The sequence below is a fragment of the Homo sapiens genome, chromosome 1, assembly GCF_000001405.40.
Source record: "Homo sapiens chromosome 1, GRCh38.p14 Primary Assembly".
NCBI classification, from domain to species: domain Eukaryota; kingdom Metazoa; phylum Chordata; class Mammalia; order Primates; family Hominidae; genus Homo; species Homo sapiens.
This window is the reverse complement of record NC_000001.11, coordinates 16403381-16424598: the sequence shown is the minus strand read 5'-3', so window position 1 is coordinate 16424598 and position 21218 is coordinate 16403381. Positions and strand designations below refer to the sequence as shown.

General features: G+C 51.5%; 1 protein-coding gene across 10 annotated transcripts in view; it reads left to right on the top strand.

Annotated features, from left to right (window-relative positions):
- Nucleotides 1–21218, top strand: part of SPATA21 (spermatogenesis associated 21) — a 42166-nt gene that overhangs the window by 13244 nt on the left and 7704 nt on the right. For 4 of the 10 annotated variants that reach the window (XR_946645.2, XR_001737156.2, XM_011541407.4 and 1 more), the window contains exons 5-11: nucleotides 2405–2688; nucleotides 3042–3090; nucleotides 14556–14998; nucleotides 15396–15481; nucleotides 19495–19632; nucleotides 20560–20631; nucleotides 20755–20872. Coding sequence is in view for 6 of the 10 variants with exons in the window: in XM_011541407.4 (XP_011539709.1) it covers nucleotides 2405–2688; nucleotides 3042–3090; nucleotides 14556–14998; nucleotides 15396–15481; nucleotides 19495–19632; nucleotides 20560–20631; nucleotides 20755–20872 (1190 nt within the window). In the remaining 4 variants the exon portion in view is untranslated. Of the gene's footprint in view, nucleotides 1–2404; nucleotides 2689–3041; nucleotides 3091–13396; nucleotides 13822–14555; nucleotides 14999–15395; nucleotides 15482–19494; nucleotides 19633–20559; nucleotides 20632–20754; nucleotides 20873–21218 lie in introns of those variants that run through there. The other 6 variants (NR_148413.2, XR_946646.4, NM_198546.1 and 3 more) reach the window with 6 other exon arrangements.

Below are 21218 nucleotides of genomic sequence, written 5' to 3'. Positions count from 1 at the left end.
AAAAAATACCAAAGTTAGCTGGATGTGGTGGCACATGTCTGTGGCCCCAGCTACTCCAGATACTGAGATGGGAGGATCCCCTGAGCCTGGGGTCCAGGCTGCAGTGAGCCAAGATCACACCACTGTGCTCCAGCCTGGGTGACAGAGTGAAACCCTGTCTCAAAAAAAATAAAAATAAAAAAATAAATAAAAAATTTTAAAAAGATATGGTTAGAGTATATTGCCTTTCCCAAACTTATTTGACCACAAGATCTTTTTTTATTTATCTGTAAGATTTTTTTTTTTTTTGAGACAGTCTTGCTCTGTCGCCCAGGCTGGAGTGCAGTGGCGCAATCTCGGCTCACTGCAAGCTCTGCCTCCCAGGTTCATGCCATTCTCCTGCCTCAGCCTCCCAAAGTGCTGGGATTACAGGTGTGAGCCACCGCACCCAGCCTGGTAAGATTTATTTTTAACAGCTTCAGTAAGGTATAATTGGCATTCACTTGCACATACTTTAAGTGTACAATTTAATATTTTGACATATGTACACACCCACAAAACCATCCCCACAATCAAGAAAGCAAACATAGCCATCACCCCAACCATTTCCTCATGCCCTTTCTCATCCCCCCTCCCACTAGTCTATCCCCAGGCGACTACCAACTATCACTATAGATTTGTTTGTATTTCGTGGAATTTTACACAAATGAAATTGTACAGTGTACATTCTTTCTGTCTGGCTTCGTTCACTCCACATGACTATTTGAGATTCATCTAGGTCGGGTGCGGTGGCTCAGCCTGTAATCCCAGCACTCTGGGAGGCTGAGGCGGGTGAATCACCTGAGGTCAGGAGTTCAAGACCAGCTTGGCCAACCTGGTGAAACCCCGTCTCTACTAAAAATATAAACATTAGCTGGGCATGGTGGCAGGTGCCTGTAGTCCCAGCTACTCGGGAGGCTGAGGCAGGAGAATCACTTGAACCTGGGAGGCGGAGGTTGCAGTGAGCTGAGATCATGCCAGTGCACTCCAGCCTGGAGAACAGAGTGAGACTCTGTCTCCAAAAAAAAAAAAAAAAAAAAAGGAGAGAGAGAAAGAGAAAGAAATTCATGTATTGTGTGTATCAACATGTTGTTCTTTTGGTTGCTCAGTAATATTTCCATTCTATGGATATACCATAATATACCACTTTTTTTTTTTTTTTTTTTTTGACATGGAGTCTCACCCTGTTGCCCAGGCTGGAGTGCAGGGGTGTGATCTTGGGTCACTGCAACCTCCACCTCCTGGGTTCAAGTGATCCTCCCACCTCAGCCTCCTGAGTGGCTGGGATTACAGGCACGTACCACCACGCCCAGCTAATTTTTGTGTTTTTAGTAGAGACAGGGTTTCACCATGTTGGCCAGGCTGGTCCTGAACTCCTAATCTCGTGTGATCCACCCACTTAGGCCTTTATTATTTTTTTTCAAGAGACAGAGTCTCACTCTGTCGCCCAGGCTGGAGTGCAGTGGTGTGATCATGGCTTACTGCAACCTCCACCTCCTGGGTTCAAGTGATTCTCGTCCCTCAACCTCCCAAATAGCTGGGATTACAGACATGAGCCACCATGCGTAGCTAATTTTGTGTAGAGACAGAATTTCTCCATGTTGGCCAGGCTGGTCATGAATTCCTGACTTCAAGTGATCCACCTGCCCCTCAGCCTCCCAAAATTCTGGGATTGCAGGTGTGAACCACCACACCTGGCCAAAACCTCCTCTTTTTAAGGAGGCTCATGAAGGATTCTTGTTCTTTGAAGTATCCCTTGGAAAATCCCATTAAGGCTGAGCATGGTGACTGATGCCTGTAATCCCAGCACTTTGGGAGGCTGAGGCAGGAGGAATGCTTGAGCCCAGGAGTTCAAGACCAGCCTGAGCAACATAGTGAGACCTCATCTCTACCAAAAATTAAAAAATATCAGCCAGGCGTGGTGACAGGTATTTGTAGTCCCAGCTACTTGGGAGGCTGAAGCAGGGGGATCCCTTGAGCTCAGGAGGTCAAGGCTACAATGAGCTGTGTTCTTGCCACTGCACTCCAGCCTGGGTGACAGAGTGAGACTTGTCTCAAAAAAAAAAAAAAATACACACACACACAAAGGAAAACCCTATTTAAAGGGGATCTTCTCAATTTTCCAGGCTCTCATTCCACTCCCATAGGGAAGTGTGGTTCTTTGGGTAGGCCACGCCTTCTCTGGGCTTCAATTTCCTCACCCTTCAAAATGTGGGAGTACCTGTGCTACCTTCTAGGGGCACTAGGAGAATTAAGTAAGATGATGCCTGAAGTGCTGGGACCCTAGTAAGTGTGTAATAACTGGTCTCCAGTTCGCCTGGAGCATTGAGGTTCACCTGGGAACGAGGATGGAGCTCCCCAGCCGTGGTGTCCTTGTCCTTGACAGGGCTCCGGATATCAATCCACCCCCAGTCACCAGGCAGACATGGTGCAGCCAGCAGAGCCTTGCTGCCGCTTGGCCAGCCATGGCCAGCCACTGGGAGGCAAGCACCCCAAGGAGGCAGGTGTCCCACACATCAGGCCACAGGAGGCTCCGCCAGAGCCCAGCCCAGGGGGACATGGGGACAGCTCTCAGGAAGCAATGCCCCCAATGTCCGTCGTGGCTCCAGAGGAAAAGACAGTCAACCCCTTCCTGCCATCCACGCCTGGACCTAAAAAAGCAAAAGGAGGGTAAGTCATCATCCAGTGCCATCCCCTGCCCCCAACAAGGATGCTCTTCTGCTGAGTTTCAGGTGGGGTGAATTCTAGTCCAGACTGCTCCTGACCTGGTAGAGGACCTTGGGCAAGTCATGCTCCGCTGGGTCTCAATTTCCCCATCTGTGTAATGGCTGGAATACCAGAATTCTTGGTTCCGTGAGCCTGTATATATGAGGATGTGGGGACATAAGGAGCCCCCTGAGATGAGAAGGCCAAGGGGATGAGGCTGGGGTGGAACTGAGTGTCCTGGGGGCTGAGAGGGGAGGGCAGGGGGGCAAACCTTCAGCTGAGCGCTTCCCCCACCTGGGGGTTTCTCTTCTATTCAGGGGTGAGGCTGTGGAGACCCACCCAGCACCGGGGCCTCTTCCTCCACCAGTAAGTAGGGCCATAGGGGGAACGGGGACGAGCTGTGTAGGAGAAAGGCAGGGGGGATCAGGAGGAGGAAGAGGGCAGAAGCGGATGTGGCACGTCAAACCCCTATTTGGAGTCAAACCAAGGAAGGTGTGTGTGGCTGTGTGTTAAAGTGCACATGGATGTGCACACGTGTGTGTGTGTGCCTGTGCCTGTGTGTATGCATGTGTGTGTATTCTGGGTGGGCATCAAGAATGCTCTTACACTCTGGAGCCCTTGGGTTCATCCCAGGTGGTGGCTTGTTCCACATCAGCATGGATTTCTTCCACCCATTTGCCCTCGGCCACAGCCACACAATCCAAAGCATCCCTGAACACCTGGGAGGCTTCCCCGACCCCTCCCAGCCATCCTTCCCTCCCCAAGCTCTGCCACTTCCTAGTTCTTTGACCTGACCAGGCAACCTGCAAATACACAGTCACTAGCATGCATGCCCTGCCAGCATCTGCCCTGTCTCATCCTGTTCTGTTCATTGGCAAAACCCCACCCTGGCTAAACTCACTCAGCCTTGTACCCATGTTGAGCAGCTTAATGCGGTTGGAGAACATCCTGTCTTATTGATGGGTTTCACTTTCAAGCATTAACCACTCATGTCAGATGCTGCCTGCAAGTCTCACTTTTCCTTGGCCACACCGCCCTCCCTCCGCTCCAGGTCATCATTTCACAACAGCATCCCCCACGCCCCTCATCTCACTCATGTGTCACTGACAAACAGAAGCATCAGATGAGAAGAAGCATCCCCAAACCCACCACCCTCCCTGCCTTGATTTGGCTGCAATGGGAGCTGTGAAGATGGGCCCCTGCTCCCATGGCTGTCTCCCCATTTATTCATTAGCTCTCGTCCCCTCCCCCCACCACATGATCCCTCTCTGCGTTACTACAGGACGATTCCATCAGCATACAAACATGGCTCAGCCTCCACAATATCAAAAGCTGCCTTTCTTTCTTTCTTTCCTTTTTTTTGAGACAGAGTCTCTGTTGCCCAGGCTGGAGTGCAGTGGTGTGATCACGGCTCACTGCAACCTCCACCTCCCGGGTTCAAGCTAGTCTCAGCCTCCTGAGTAGCTGGGACTACAGGCGTGTACAAACATACCTGGCGTCAAAAGCCGTCTTTCCTTGCTCCCCTTTGCAGCCCCATCCCTCAATAATTGTCCCCCTCACCTCCTCCGCTTGTCTTTTCTCAACACATCCCCATATGAGAGCTTTTATCGGGGTCTCCATAATCTCCATCTGGCTTATCAAATGGAAGAGCTCTGTCCTTACAGAGCCCACCTCGCAACAGCAGAAGACACAGTGGCTCCCTCTCTCCTCAATGCTGCCTTCTCCAGGCTCCATGACAGCCCTACCTTGGTTCTCCTCCCATGTCACTAGCAACTCCTTCCCAGTCTCCCTCCCTAGTTCCTCCTCATCTTCTCCACCCTCGGGGCTCCACCCTCTGGTCTCCCATCTCCATTCTCTCCCTGGATGATCTCATTCAGTCCCTCTGATGATTCCCAAATCCATATCTTCAGGCGAGACTTTGCCTTTTTCTTTTTTTGAATTGACAGAGTCTCTGTTGCCCAGGCTGAAGTGCAGTGGCGCAATCTCAGCTCACTGCAACCTCTGTCTCTGAGGTTCAAGCAATTCTCTTGCCTCAGCCTCCCGAGTAGGTGGGATTACAGGCAAGCACCACCTCACCCGGTTAATTTTTGTATTTTTAGTAAAGATGGGGTTTCACCATATTGGTCAGGCTGCTCTCGAACTCCTTACCTCCGGTGATCCGCCCGCCTCAGCCTCCCAAACTGCTGGGATCACAGGCGTGAGCCACCATGCCCAGCCATAGACCTTGCCTTTAAATTCCATGTTCATATATCCAATGGCCTACTTGAATTCCCTCTGGCTGGCTAATTCACTTCTCAAACATGACCACAGCAGTCTTCTTCAGCCCAGCAAATGACACTGCCTTTCTCACCCAAGGGGCTCATGCAACCCAGCTCAAAATCACCTCTGATTCCTCCTTTTCCCTCTATAATCCTTTCACGTGTCAACAAGCCCTGTTTAGTGCTACCTACAAAATAAATCCTGAATCCGTCCCTTCCTTCCACTCCCTCTTTCATTACCCTAGTCCAAGCCTCATCTTCTTAGAATAAGATCCAAAATCTTCACCAAGAGCCATAAAGCCCTATGTCTAGCCACTCTGGTCTAACCTCCAGCCCTTGGATATGCTAAGCCTAGTCTCACCCCAGGGCCTTTGAATGTTCCTGTGCCTGAACTCCTCTTCATAGACAGTCTTACGGCTCTCTTGAGTCATTCACTTTCAATTTCGACATCAGTTTTTCCACAAGGCCTTCCCTGGCCAGCCATCTCAAGGAGCCTGTCAGCCACACTCAGCCTATCACATTGTCCTGTTTTATTGTCTTTGTAGTACTTTCTCCCTCCGACATTATCTTTAAGTTGTCAACCTATTCATTATCTAGAACGCAAGCTCCCTGAGGGCAGCCTTGCTAGTTGACTTACTCCTCTATGCTTTGTGCCTCAAACAATGCCCAGCACGTGGTAGGTACTCAACAGGAATGTGTTGAATAAATGAATGGATGGGAATAAGATGAGGTACCTCTCCAGACTAGTGAGAAGTCAGATGAGAAATAAGAACTAGGCCGGATGCAGTGGCTTATCCCTGTAATCCAAGCACTTTGGGAGGCCGAGGCAAGTGGATCACCTGAGGTCAGGGGTTCAAGACCAGCCTGGCCAAAATACAAAAATTAGTGGGGCATGGTGGCGTGCACCTGTTGTCCCAGCTACTTTGGAGGCTGAGGCAGGAGAGTCACTTGAACCCGTGAGGCAGAGGATGCAGTGAGCCAAGATAGCGGCACTGCACTTCAGCCTGAGAAACAGAGCAAGCCTCTGTCTTGGAAAAAAAAAAAAGAGAGGGTATGGTGGCTCATGCTTGTAATCCCAGCACTTTGGGAGGCTGAGGCGGGAGGATCATGAGGTCAGGAGATCGAGACCATCCTGGCTAACAAGGTGAAACCGCTTCTCTACTAAAAATACAAAAAAATTAGCTGGGCATGGTGGCGGGCACCTGTAGTCCCAGCTACTTGGGAGGCTGAGGCAGGAGAATGGCATGAACCCAGGAGGCAGAGCTTCCAGTGAGCCGAGATCACGCCACTGCACTCCGGCCTGGGCGACAGAGCGAGACTCCATCTCAAAAAAAATAAAAATAAAAAAAAGAGAGAGAGAAATAAGAACTATTCCTTGCCTGTGTGTTTCTGCCTTTTACCCCATCCCTACCCCATGCAAAGCGTGGGCTGGATACTGTGGGGGAGAAGAGGAGAGGGCACAATTTAGCTCTGCAAGTACATACTGAGTGTCTGTGGCATACCAGGCCCAGTGCTTGGAGAGAAAGGACAAGGAAAGCCGGGGAGGGCCCCTGCTCCCTGCTCTGGAGGATGCAGCTGAGCTGGTGGCACCACAAGAGATGAGAGGTCCTGGACAGGAAGTCCTGCAGGCACTCAGAGGAGCCCTGGGGCCAGCAGGTAGCTTTCTGGAGAGGGAGGACTGATATTAGGCCATACAGAGGGAATGGAATACAGACAGAGCCAGGGAGTAGAAAGGGCGCCCAGGGCCAGGTGCAGTGAGTGGCTCACGCCTGTAATCCCAACACTTTAGGAGGCTGAGGTGGGCGGATCACCTGAGGTCAGTAGTTCAAGACCAACCAGGTCAACATGGTGAAACCCCATCTCTATTAAAAACACAAAAAATGGCCGGGCACGGTGACTCATGCCTGTAATCCCAGCACTTTGGGAGGCCGAGGTGGGCGGATCACCTGAGGTCAGGAGTTCGAGACCAGCTTGGCCAACATGGGGAAAAAAAACCCCGTCTCTACTAAAAATACAAAAAAATTAGCCAGGCGTGGTGGCAGGTGCCTGTAATCCCAGCTATTCAAGAGAGAATCGCTTGAACCTGGGAGGCAGAGGTTGCAGTGAGCCAAGATCGTGCCATCGCACTCCAGCCTGGGGAACAAGAGCGAGACTTTGTCTCAAAAAAAAAAAAAAAAAGCCCACAAAAAAATTAGCTGGGCATGGTGGCAGGCACCTGTAGTCCCGGCTACTTGGGAGGCTGAGGCAGGAGAATCATTTGAACCCAGGAGGCAGAGGCTGCAGTGAGCCAAGATCTTGCCATTGCACTCTAGCCTAGGCAGTGAGTGAAACTCCGTCTCAAAAGAAAAAAGGCAAAGAAAAGAAAGGGCAGCCAGGCAGCAGACCCATCACAAGGAAAGTTACAGAGATGGGAAGGAAGGTGAATGAAAAGTGACGATGGAGAGGGCCATCATCTGGGCCTCGTGGGACAAGCATATTGGATACAATGGACAGAGCGGCTGAAAAGCTAGACTGGCTGTGATATGAAGCCTCCAGGATGTGAGGCAGGCTCACCGTGTACTGGTTACCAACTTGTCTTGAGTCCAGTGAGGCAGAATACCCATGCATACATGTTATAAAAGTGAGTTTATTACTAAAGATGGGCAACAAAGGACAATAGAAGCCTAGGATCCACTGTGAGCCTGGGCCCCAAGGCTCAGGAAAGCTGTCTGGGACAGAGGGAGTCCTGTCTGCGTGTGCCGCACTTGCTGAGGGACCGCAGAAAGCAGCACACCCTGGGTTTTATACATCAAGGTGACATGATTTGCTGGGCTAAAGCCTTGAAGGCCATCCTATTTCTGGGGCTCAGGGGAGTGGAACAGATCCTGGGGTGTTCCAGCCAGTCCCTCCCTATCTTAGGATATTGCATTCCCACCACATTCTTTTTTTTTTTTTTTGAGATGGAGTCTCTCTCTGTCGCCCAGGCTGGAGTGCTGTAGTGGTGTGATCTCAGCTCACTGCAACCTCCACCTCCCGGGTTCAAGCAATTCTCCCGCCTCAGCCTCCCAAGTAGCTGAGATTACAGGCATATACCACCACGTGTGGCTAATTTTTGTATTTTTAATAGAGACAGAGTTTCGCCATGTTGGCCAGGCTGGTCTTGAACTCCTGACCTCAAATGATCCACCCGCCTCAGCTTCCCAAAGTGCTGGGATTACAGGCATGAGCCACCGTGCCCGGCCCCCACCACATTCTTTAACTGTGTAATCTTCAGAACTACAAGTGAGAAATGAGAGAGAACTGGGTGGGTCCAAGGCCCACCTGCACCAGAGACCCATCCTGCACAGTCGTGGAGTGAAGCATTTGGCCTTAGCACTTCAATGACACTCTTAACACCTTGCAAAAAGCTGGGCCTAGGAAGAAATACTAGACTAGAGCACCCCGAGGCTGGGCACTAGGCACCCCTGTACCCACGTGACTGCACTTGTGGCACAGATGGATGAAGGGATGGGTGTGACAGTCACAGGGAGCCCCTGCAGGCTCGGGGGTAGCAGAGCAGTGACAGAAGAGCTGCACAGAGGTCAATGCAGTGGCCTGTTCAGGACACCTGGTGCCAGGTGGAAGGGGCTCAGAGAAGGCAGAAGGAGGAATCCAGGTGTGTGAGGGTTGGAGAAGCTGGAGGGAAAGATGTCAGGGCCTTGGCACCATCGTTCACCCACAGGCTGAGCGCCTGCTGGGAGCAAAACTTGGTGCTGGATCCTGAAATAATAGGAGACATTTGGCCGGGTGTGGTGGCTCACGCCTGTAATCCCAGCACTTTGGGAGGCCGAGGTGGGCGGATCACAAGGTCAGGAGATCGAGACCATCCTGGCTAACATGGTGAAACCCCGTCTCTACTAAAAATACAAAAATTAGCCAGGCATGGTGGCGGGCGCCTGTAGTCCCAGCTACTCGGGAGGCTGAGGCAGGAGAATGGCGTGAACCCGGGAGGTGGAGCTTGCAGTGAGCCGAGATCACACCAACACACTCCAGCCTGGGTGACAGAGCGAGACTCCGTCTCTAAAAAAGAATAATAATAATAATAATAGGAGACATTCTGAGACAGACTTCTACCCACCTTGGGGCTCAGAGTCTGTATCTGCAACAGGGGCAGAGGCCCCGGACTTTGGAAGCCCTGTAGTCCCCAGAGGGCCATGGGGAGTCCCCGGAGGGCCATGATGACAGTGAGGCTGGATTCATGGCCACCATCTTGGGCCCCAATATCACAATGGAGCAGGAGCCCCAGAACTGATTTTTTTTTTGAGGGTCACATTCTGCCACCCAGAGTGCTAGAGTGCAGTGGCACAATCTTGGCTCACTGCAACCTCCGCCTCCTGGGCTCAAGTGATCCTCCCACCTTAGCCCCTTCAAGTAGCTGATAGTACAGGCGCGAGCCATCATGCCTGGCTAATTTTTGTATTTTCTGTAGAGACAGGGTCCCACCATGTTGCCCAGGCTCTTCTCGAACTCCTGAGCTCAAGCGATCCACCTGCCTCAGCATCCGAAAGTGTTAGGATTACAGGCATGAGCCACTGCGCCTGGCCCAGAACTGCTTTTAATTGCTAGTTTGTTTTAGGCTTGACAGAAATTGAGCATTTGCCCTTAATTCAGGAAAACAATTAAAGGAGTCTTCGACATGGGAAAATGGGTCTCTTTTCTAGGCTGTCAGAATACTCAACTAGAATCTTTTTTTTTTTTTTTTTTTGAGATGAGGTTTCGCTCTTGTTGCCCAGGCTAAAGTGCAATGGTGTGATCTCGGCTCACCTCAACCTCCACCTCCCAGGTTTAAGCGATTCTCCTGCCTCAGCCTTCCCGAGTAGCTGGGATTACAGGCATGCGAACAACCCCAGCTAATTTTGTATTTTTAGCAGAGACGGGGCTTCTCCATGTTGGTCAGGCTGGTCTCGAACTCCCAACCTCAGGTGATCTGCCTGCCTCAGCCTCCCAGAGTGCTGGGATTACAGGCGTGAGCCACCGCGCCCGTCCAGCTATGATTATTTCAACCGTACTGTTTGTTGAGCGTTTACTCTGTCCAAGTGCATTATTTACATTATCTTGCTTCTCAGACATCACTGAGAAAACTGAAATAATCAGTGTTTAGTTAACATACATATTGAGGACAACATACCAAAAACAGTTGTGAAACTGGGGATTTCATGGTGAATGGAGCTTGTGACCTAGTTGGCAGAAAGTCTAGACCATTAACATGTAAATAAATAAATACAGTTTAGGCTGGGTGCGGTGGCTCACGCCTGTAATCCCAACACTTTGAGTGGCTGAGGTGGGCAGATCCCTTGAGGCCAGGAATTCAAGACCAGCCTAGGCAACATGGTAAAACCCTGTCTCTACTAAAAATACAAAAAAATTAGCCAGGCTGTGGTGGCGCACATCTGTGATCCCACCTACTCGGGAGGCTGAGGCACGAGAATCACTTGAACCCGGGAGGCGGAGGTTGCAGTGAGCCAAGATTGCACCACTGCACTCCAGCCTGGGCAACAGAGCGAGACTCTGTCCCAAAAAAATAAAAAAAAAGAACTCTAGGCTCACACTCATCAGGACGACTGCTATAAACAAGAAAAAAAACAGAAAATAACAAGTGTTGACAAGGATGTGGAGAAACTGGAACATCTGTGTACTGCTGGTGGGAATGTAAAATGGTACAGCTACTGTGGTAAACAGTATGATAGGCTGGGCATGGTGGCTCACACCTGTAATCCCAGCACTTTGGGAGGCCGAGGCAGGCAGATCGCTTGAGGTCAGGAGTTCAAGACCAGCCCGGCCAATATAGCGAAACCCTCTCTCTACTAAAAATACAAAAATTAGCCAGGCATGGTGGCACGCACCTGTAGTCCCAGCTACTCCAGAGGCTGAGGCAGGAGAATCGCTTGAACCTGGGAGGTGGAGGTTCGGTGAGCCAAGATCACGCCATTGTACTCCAGCCTGGGCAACAAGAGTGAAACTCTGTCTCAAAAAAGAAAAGAAAAGAAAAAGAAGAGAAGAGAAAGATGGTAGTTCCTCAGAAAATTAAAGATAGAATTACTATATGATGCTGAAACTCCATTTCTGGGTATATACCCCAGAGAACTGAAAGCAGGATCTCAAGGAGATCTTTGTACACCCATGTTCATAGCAGTATTATTCACAACGGATAACAGATGAAAGCAACTCAAGTGTCCATTGACAGATTAATGGATATGCCAAATGTGGTCTGTACGTACAATAGACTATTATTCAGCCTTAAAAAGGGAGGAAATTCTGACACATGCTGCCACATGGATGAGCTTTGAGGATGTTATGCTAAGTGAAATAAGCCAGTCACAAAAAGACAAAGCAATTCTGCTTATATGAGATTCTTAGTCAAATCTGTAGAGACAGGAGGTGGAAATGGTAGTTGCCAGGGCCCGGGGGAGTGGTGATGGGAGGTTATTATTTAATGGATATGGAGTTTCTGTTCTACAAGATGAAAAGACCAGCCTGGGCAACATAGCAGGACACTGTCTCTAAAAAAAAAATCGTTGGCCGGGCGTGGTGGCTCACGCCTATAATCCCAGCACTTTGGGAGGCCAAGGCGGGCGGATCAAGAGGTCAGGAGATCCAGGCCATCCTGGCCAACATGGTGAAACCTTGTCTCTACTAAAATACAAAAAACTAGCCGGGTATGGTAGTGCACACCTGTAGTCCCAGCTACTCAGGAGGCTGAAGCAGGGGAATTGCTCAAACCCTGGAGGTTGCAGTGAGCCAAGATCACGCCACCACACTCCAGCCTGGCGACAGAGCAAGACTTTATCTAAAAAAAGAAAGAAAGAAAGAAAGAAAATCGTTAAGTTGGTAAATGTGGCTGGATATGATGGCTCATGCCTGTAATCCCAGCACTTTGGGAGGCCGAGGCAGGCAGATCACCTGAGGTCAGGAGTTCGAGACCAGTTTGGCCAACATGGTAAAATGCTGTCTCTACTAAAAATACAAAAATTAGCCGGGCATGGTGGTACACACCTGTGATCCCAGCTACTTGGGAGGCTGAGGCAGGAGAATTGCTTGAACACGGGAGGCAGCGGTTGCAGTGAGCCAAGATCGTGCCACTACCCTCCAGCCTGGGCAACAGAGTGAGACTCTGTCTCAAAACAAACAAACAAAGATGGTAAATGTTACGTGTATGTTATCACAGAAAAAAAAAGTTGGAAAAGAATAAAAGGACTCTAGGTCTGGGGCCTGAGCCACCAGTGGTGTCATGAAGTGAGACACGAGCCTGGGTAGCAGCAGATGAGAGGAACCTGGGGTCTCTGCTTTGGTCCTGTTCTAGACACCCAAGAAGAGATGTCAAGGAGGACATCTGGTATTCGGAAGGACAAAGAAATGTGAGGAAAATGGAGTCATGGGCAGCAGGATGACTTTTAGGGAGGGAGGGAGTCCAGAGCAGGGGAAGGACTGAGGACAAATCCCTGGGTCTCTGCAACACTGAGAAATGGAGCACAAGTGAGGGGGAGCCAGCACCGGAGGCAGGGGCAGAGCAGCCAGTGAGGGGCGGGTGTCTAGAGAAGGGAGCATTTCCAGAAGGACAGAGTGAATGGGCATCTGTGTCTAATGCTGCCAAGGGGTCAACTCAGATGAGGGCAGAGATCTGACTGTGGCATGGCGAGAGCAGCTTTGGGGAGTGCTGGGCAGAGCCTGATTGGAGATGGAAGTGGGGAGTCAGGACAGCCAACGCTTTCAAGGAATTTTGCAATAGAAGGGGAGCAGAGAACTGGGATGATCAGGGGTGGGGTGGTATCAGGAGACTTTGTTTTGTTTTGTTTTTTTTTTTTTTTTTTTGAGACAGAGTCTTGCTCTGTCACCCAGGCTGGAGTGCAATGGCGCGGTCTCGGCTCACTGCAACCTCTGCCTCCTGGGTTCATGCCATTCTCCTGCCTCAGCCTCCTTAGTAGCTGGAACTACAGGCACCTGCCACCACACCCGGCGAATTTTTTGTATTTTTAGTAGAGACGGGGTTTCACTATGTTAGTCAAGATGGTCTCGATCTCCTGACCTTGTGATCCGCCTGCCTCGCCCTCCCAAAGTGCTGGGATTACAGGCGTGAGCCACCTTGCCTGGCCTGTTTTGTTCTTAAAGAAGGAAGATTAGCGGTTTTGGTGGCACACATCTGCAATCCCAGCACTTTGGGAGGCTGAGGTAGGAGGATCATTTGGGCCAAGGGTTTTGAGACCAGCCTGGGCAAGACAAGACCCTGTCTCTACAAAAAATTAAAATATTAGCCAGGCCTGGTGGTGAGCACCTGTAGTCCCAGCTACTTGGGAGGCTGAGGTGGGATTATCTCTTGAGCCCAGGAATTCAAGGTGGCAGTGAGCTGAGATCGTGTCACTGCCTTCCAGCCTGGGCAACAAAACGAGACCCTATTTCTTTCAAAATAAAAGAGGGAAGATGATAATATATTTACATGCTGATAGGAGTAATCTGGTGGGGAAAGCGAAGTTGATAACTTAGGAAGAGAGAGTGTGTGGTAAGCACAGTGTCTTTGATTGGGAGAAAAGCCTGGCCTGGCAAGAGGCAGAATGGGGATAGCCAGTCCCTCTGAGGGGAGGGAACAGGTGCAAGAGAGACTGGGGTTGCTGAGTGAATGAGAAGTGGGTGTACAGGAATAAAAGAGGCAGCCAAGATCCTGCCCTCATAATGCTTACCTTCTGGTCAGGAGGGCAGACAACAGGCATGAACAAAGCCAAGTGGTGGGACCAGGAGTAACTCACTCAAGACCATGGCTCAGCCGGGCGCGGTGGAACACGCTTGTCATCCCAGCACTTTGGGAGGCCAAGGCGGAGGATCACTTGAGGTCAGGAGTTCCAGACCAGCCTGGGCAACATGGTGAAACCCTGTCTCTACAAAAAATACAAAGATTAGGCCGGGCGCAGTGGCTCATGCCTGTAATCCCAGCACTTTGGGAGGCTGAGGCAGGCAAATCATGTGAGGTCAGGAGTTGGAGACCAGCCTGGCCAACGTGGCAAAACCCCATCTCTGCTAAAAATATAAAAATTAGCTGGGCATGGTGGTGCACACCTGCAGTCCCAGCCACTTAGGAGGCTGAGACAGGAGAATCGCTTGAACCTGGGAGGTGGAGGTTGCTGTGAGCCAAGATCACACCACTGCACTCCAGCCTGGGCAACAGAGCAAGGCTTCGTCTCAAAAAAAAAAAAAAGATTAGCTGGGCGTTGTAGTGCGCGGCTGTAGTCCCAGCTTCTCTGGAGGCTGAGGTGGGAGGATCACTCGAGCCTGGAAGGTCAAGGCTGCAATGAGCTGAGATCACACCACTGCACTCCAGCCTGAGTGACAGAGTAAAACCCTGTCTCAAAAAAGAAAATACAGCTCACTTGGATGTGGCAAGTCAAGTGTTGGGGAGGACGTGGGGCAGGAGCACAGTGGGGTGCATGTGAGATTTGGGGTACATCCTCCAAAGGCTCAGAGAGTAAGGGGCAGTCTGAGGATCTCTGGAGAGGGGATGGCAGGGAGGAGATTTGTGGGACACTCTGGCCCACTAGAGGCCTCCTGGATCCCCTCCCCTGTCCCCAGGAGGTGAGGGACATTGGAGAGAGGCGGGAGCCAGACCGTGCGCAGCAGCAGCCTCAGAAGCCCGCGGTGGCTGCAGGGACACAGAGCCTCGGGAACTTCCGGCAGGGCTTCATGAAGTGCTTGCTGGAGGTGGAGAAAATGGAGGCCTCCCATCGGAGAGCCTCGAAGGCCCGGTCCCAGACAGCCCAGAAGTCGCCCAGGACCCTGACCCCGGTGCCCACCTCAGCTCCAAGCCTGCCTCAGACCCCTGCCTCGGTCCCTGCCAGCGGCCCATCGTGGGCCCGGCTGCCAGCTCCTGGGCCAGAACCTGCCCCCATGGGAGCCCCGGTCCCCACCTCCATGCCTTGCCCTGTCCTGCTGGGCCCTGCCCTGGACCTGGGCTGGAGAAGGATGGAACTCTTGCACCAGAGCAGCGAGAGAACCCTGAGCTACGCCAAGGCGCGGTAGGAGCCCCCGCTGCTCACCCGCCCGCTCCTGAAAGGCCCCAAGATCAGAGCCTTGTCCCGGATGCAGGTCCCTGTCCCTGCACCTGCCTGTTCCCTCGTGTGTCCCCCTCTCTCCATTTCTCCTCATGTGTCTCCTCTCCGCATCTCCCATGTCTCTGCCTCCTCTCCCACTTCTGACCCCTTTTCTAACTCCCCCGAAGGGGTCTCCCTCTAGTCCCCTCTCCTCTGTCCCACTTCTCCTCTGGATCTCCTTTTTCCTGCCATTCTTGATCTCTCCGGGCTCCCCAAAGCCTCCCCCACGACCTCCTCCTGCAGGCTCCCCCAACCCCTCCCCTAGCTATCAGCAGGGTGGGCGGCCGGATGTTGCCCTGGGTCGGGGTTCTGTCCTCTGCAGGCAGGAGCCGGAAGAGCAGAGCCTCCAAAAGCTTTATCAAAACCGGGAGAAGTCCGAGGAGCAACTGACCCTGAAGCAAGAGGAAGGTGAGGGCAGGGAGGTCAGGGAGGTCCCAGCACAGGCAGGACCCTTGGTCCTTGGGGGTTTATAGGCGCAGGGCGGACTGGGGTGCTTTCCAGATCACATGGCTGCCGCCATGTGTAGCAGACCCAGCAGGGGTTTTCTGCACTTGGCCTATGGGGCAGGGCAGGGTAGGGGATTGGCTCCAGCTCACAAAGCTGCTGGGTTGGGGGGGCCAGAACTCATGCTGGGTCTTTTTTTTTTTTTTTTTTTTGAGACAGAGTCTCGCTCTGTCACCCAGGCTGGAGTGCAGTGGTGCGATCTCAGCTCACTGCAACATCTGCCTCCAGGGTTCAAGCGATTCTCCTACCTCAACCTCCTGAATAGCTAAGATTACAGATGTGTGACACCACGCCCGGCTAATTTTTGTATTTTTAGTAGAGACAGTTTCACCATGTTGGCCAGGCTGGTCTCGAACTCCTGAACTCAAGTGATCCACCCACCTCAGCCTCCCAAAGTCTGGAATTACAGGCGTGAGCCACCGCGCCCAGCCTCGTGCTAGGTCTTCTGACTCGAAGTCCAGCGCTCTCCCTGTGCCAGAGCTGCCTCTCTGAGAGAATGACAGATGCCCTGCACAGTGCTTTAGGTTTTGGAATAGTTTCTTCTTCCCTTAACCCAAGCCTGCTCTATTGGTCCTCTTCAGAGCACCCTGGATGGGAGACAGGGCCCCAGGAACCCTGCCCATCCTAGATGGTCCCTCACCATTAAACAAGGCCACCAGCCTAAACATGTACCCCATTCCCACTGCATCTCACCTGCACCAAAAAGTTAAAAAGTTCTGAACACCTACCCTGCTCTCTATTGTCCTCAGGAAGGGGCCCTGTGACCCCACTCCCCCATCACCCTGGCCCTAGAAGAATGGATGTACATCCTCCTTCCATCCCCTACTCCTCTCCAAAGCCTGCAACCCTCTTGGCCACAGCGGCCCCTTCCTCTGTCTTCGCTGGATGCTCTCACTAGCTCCCTGTGACCCCATCCTTGAAGTTCACCCCTTCTAGTATTAAAACCCTCTACCAGGGCTGGGCACAGTGGCTCATGCCTATAATCCCAGCACTTTGGGAGCCTGAGGCAGGAGGATCGCTTGAGGCCAGGAGTTCAAGACTAGCCTAAGCAACATAGTAAGACCCCCACATCTACAAAAACTTTAAAAATTAGCCGGACATGGTAGCATAAGCCTGTAGTCCCAGCTACCCAGGAGGCTGAGGTGGGAGGATCACTTGAGCTCAGGAGTTCGAGGTTATGGTGGGCTACAATTATGCCACTACACTCCAGCCTGGGCGACAGAGCAAGACCCTGTCTCTTAAAAATAAAATAATATACAACTCCAACCGGGAGCAGTGGTTCACACCTGTAATCCCAGCACTTTGGGAGGCTTAGGCGGGTGGATCACGAGGTCAGGAGTTCGAGACCAGCCTGACCAACATGGTGAAACCCTGTCTCTACTAAAAATACAAAAATTAGCCCGGTGTGGTGGTGGGCACCTGAAATCCCAGCTACTCAGGGGGCTGAGGCACAAGAATCGCTTGAACCTGGGAAGTGGAGGTTGCAGTGAGCCAAGATCGCGCTACTGCACTCCAGCCTGGGTGACAGAGAGAGACTCCGTCTCAAAAATAATAATAGTAATAGTAATAATAATAATGATATACAACTCCCTAGCCACCTTCCTAAGTGCAGCTCTCCCTGCCCCACCTCCTTGAGCAGTTCATGAACAACATGCCACTTTGACTCAGAGACTCAAGGTCCCACAGCTCCCAATCCCTGTCTGGTAATTGAAGGGCCGACTGCCCTGCTCCAGTGGCTCAAACCACCAGGCATTCTGAGCGATCACACCTGCTTCTGAGAGTTGCTCTGGTTTTTCCTTCTGTGGTGTGCCTGCGCACGACAGGTCACCACGTGCCCCAACACCAATCCTAGCCCCACCTCTTCCCTACCATTCAGCGCTGTTTGTCAGAGACTTCCAGGCTAACAGAGGCTATTGTGTGCCAGCACTGAGTTCATAGAATACTTCCAAGAGGGTGCCCTGTTGTCATGGCCATCGTACAGATATGGATATAGAGGCTCACATGAATGCAGCAGCCTGCCCATGCCCACCGTCCCAGTCAGCACGGGCTGCCTTAACAAAGGACCACAGACTGGATGGTTGAAACAGCAGACATTTCTTTTGTCACAGGCTGGAAGTCCAAGATCAGGGGGTCGGCAGGTTGCTTTCTTCTGTGGCCTCCCTGCTTGGCCTGCAGACAGCTGTCTTCTCACTGTCCTCATATGGTCTTTCATCTGTGAATGGGCAACCCTGGTATCTCTGTGTGTGTCCAAATTTGCGTTTATTATTTATTTATTTATTTGAGACAGGGCCTTGTTCTGTCACCCAGGCTGGAATGCAGTCATATGATCCTACCTCACTGCAGCCTCCACCTTCGGGGATCAAGTAATCCTTCCACCTCAGCCTCCTGAGTAGCTGGGACTACAGGCATGTGCCACTGTGGCTGGCTAATTTCTAAAATTTTTTGTAGAGATGGAGTCTCTTATGTTGCCCAGGCTGTTCTCGGACTCCCAGACTCAAGTGATTCTACTGCCTCAGCTTCCCAAAGTGCTGGGTAGATGGTGTAAGCCATCGCACCTAGCCCAAATTTTCTTTTTGTATGAGGACTCCAGTTGGATTGGATTAGGGCCCACCCTAAAGGCCTCTTTTTAACTTTCTCACCTCTTTAAAGGCCCTATCTTCAAACACAGGCACATTTGGAAGTACTGGAGTTAGGGCTTCAACATAAGAGCAATCCGGCTCATTAAATGGCAGAGCCAGGCCGGGCGCAGCGGCTCATGCCTGTAACTCCAGCACTTTGGGAGGCTGAGGCAGGAGAATCACATGAACCCGGGAGGCGGAGGTTGCAGTGTGCCAAGATTGCACCACTGTACTCCAGCCTGGGTGACAGAGTGAAACTCCATCTCACCAAAAAAAAAAAGAAAAGAAAAAAGGGCTGTGGTCCCCTTGACTCACTCTGCTGTCTATTCCATATCCAGGCCAAGGGTTTGGTTTGAGTGCCAACAGCTCAGCTAATTAGTAGCCTCCACTCAGTGCCAGTAGCCCACCCACTTTAGGGCACCCTACTATGTGCCAGACACTGGACTAGGCTCTTTACAGCCATGTTCTCAAAAGAGTAGAATGCTTATTCCTGTTGTAACAATGGGGAAACTGAGGCTCAGAGGTTAGATGACTGGACAGTTTTTCTGACTAAGTCTGTCCCTAGATCTTGGTCACCTATCTGGATGGACAAGGTTGCAAGGATCGCTGCATTGTGTGGACCAGAGCAGAGGATGGGAAGGGTCTGAGAACGTCCCAGAGCAGCACCGATACAAAGGCCGTGTACTAGTCAGACTGTGTGGTGTCAGGTTTCTCAGCCCCATTGCAAAATCTGGGTTGGAGTCAATAGAGGGTCTTACTCTGTTGATCCAGCTGGAGTGCAGTGGTGTGATCATGGCTCACTGCTTCCTGGATCTCCTGGGCTCAAGGGATCCTACTGTCTGAGCCTCCCCAGTAGCTGGGACTACAGGTGCACACCACCATGCCCAGTTTTTTTTTTTTTTTTTTTTTTCATTTTTATTTTTATTAGAGATGGGGTCTCCCTGTGTTGCCGTGGCTGGTCTTGAAATCCCAGGCTCAAGCAATCCTCCTATCTCAGCCTAGCTGAGTGTTGTAGCTGGGACAACAGTCATGCACCGCCACGCCCAGCTAAGTTTTGTATCTTTAGTAGAGATAGGGTTTCACCATGTTGGCCAGGCTGGTCTTGAACTCCTGGCCTCAGGTGATCTGCCTGCCTCAGCCTCCCAAAATGTTGGGATTACAGGTGTGAGCCAACGCACCCAGCAATTTTATTTTCACTTTTGATGGTGGAGGAGGCTGGCAGGAGGGTGGTTGGGGTAATGGGATGAATGACAGAAACAAGAAATGCCCCCACTCCACATAACCCTGCCCTCCCCACAGCCTTCCGCAGCTACTTTGAGATCTTCAATGGTCCTGGTGAGGTGGATGCACAGAGCCTGAAGAATATCCTGCTCCTAATGGGCTTCTCTGTGACGCTGGCCCAGGTGGAGGACGCCCTGATGAGTGCTGATGTCAATGGTGAGTGGCAGAGGGCTCCACTCTGCATCCCAGGCAGGGCCTGCTTCACTGGCTTGAAACCTGTGCAGTTGCATGAGGCTCTGCACCTAAAGGATCCTGTGCTTGGTTTAATGCTCTACTGTCACAGTCTAGAAATGCCTTTGTTGTTCTTGTTGTTTGAGACGAGGTCTGGTTCTGTTGCTCAGACTGAGTATAATGCTGTGATCCCTGCTCACCACAGCCTCGACCTCCTAGGCTCAAGCAATCCTGCCACCTCAGCCTCCTGAGTAATTGGGGCTATAGGCGCACTACCATGCCCAGCTAACTTTTTATTTTTTGTAGAGATGGAGTCTTTGTTGCCCGGGCTGGTCTCAAACTCCTGGACTCAAGGAATCTGCCTGCCTCAGCCTCTCAAAGTGCTGGGATCACAGGCGTGAGCCACCGCACCCAACATCATAGAAATTCTTAACAATTTTTCTTTTTTTCCTTTTTTTGGTTTTGTTTTTTTGTTTGTTTTTGCAACAGAGTCTTGCTCTGTCGCCCAGGCTGGAGGGCAGTGGCACGATCTTGGCTCACTGCAACCTCCACGTCCCAGGTTCAAGCGATTCTCCTGCCTCAGCCTCCCAAGTAGCTGGGATTACAGGTGTGTGCCAACACTCCTAGCTAATTTTTGTATTTTTAGTAGAGACGGGATTTCACCATGTTGGCCATGTAGGTCTCGAACTCCTGACCTCAGGTGATCCACGCACCTCGGCCTCCCAAAGTGCTGGGATTACAGGTCTGAGCACTTTCAGCTTGTACTTTCCTGTGTGCCCCATGTTTTCTGCATTGAGTATGCACTGCTTGATAATCAGACCCAGACAGTGACTTCTAATAACCACGCCTGGGCTGCAAGGCATGGACCTGCTCCGAAGGTCCCTGCCCACCCTACTCCTCTGGCCTCCACAGGAGATGGTCGTGTGGACTTCAAAGACTTCTTGGCTGTGATGACAGACACCAGGCGCTTCTTCTGCTCTGTGGGTGAGCAGGGATGAGCCCAGCGTAGTCAGAACTGGAGGAGGGGCTGGGAGGTTGGTTGCGGGGAGAGAAGAGGGCATTCAGGACTGCCCAGTGGTAACGGCAGCCACTATCCCATGTCTCCAGAACAGAACGCCCTGTCGGACATGGCTCCCCACAACCCCCACACTCTACTCTTTGAGATCCTGTCCCTGCTGGTAGAGATGCTGGCCTTACCAGAGGCAGTCTTAGAGGAAATCACAAAGTGAGTGGGGCCGGTTGTTGGGGGTGAAGGGTTGTGGACACAGAGGTGGCATCTAGCATTTTGGCACTGAGAACTTTTGGTAGTTACGACTTTTAGTCACAAGTGAAAGAAACTGGAGGCTGAGGCACGAGAATCGCTTGAACCCAGGAGGTGGAGGTTGCAGTGAGCTGAGATTGAGCCACTGCACTCCAGCCTGGGTGACAGAGTGAGACTCTGTCTCAAAAAAAAAAAAAAGAAAAAAAAGAAAAAAACTAGAATAAAACTAGCTTAAGCAAAAGGGGAATGTATGGCTCAAATCACTGGTTGGGTCCTCAGGTCTAGTGGGATCCCAGAGACCAAATGATAC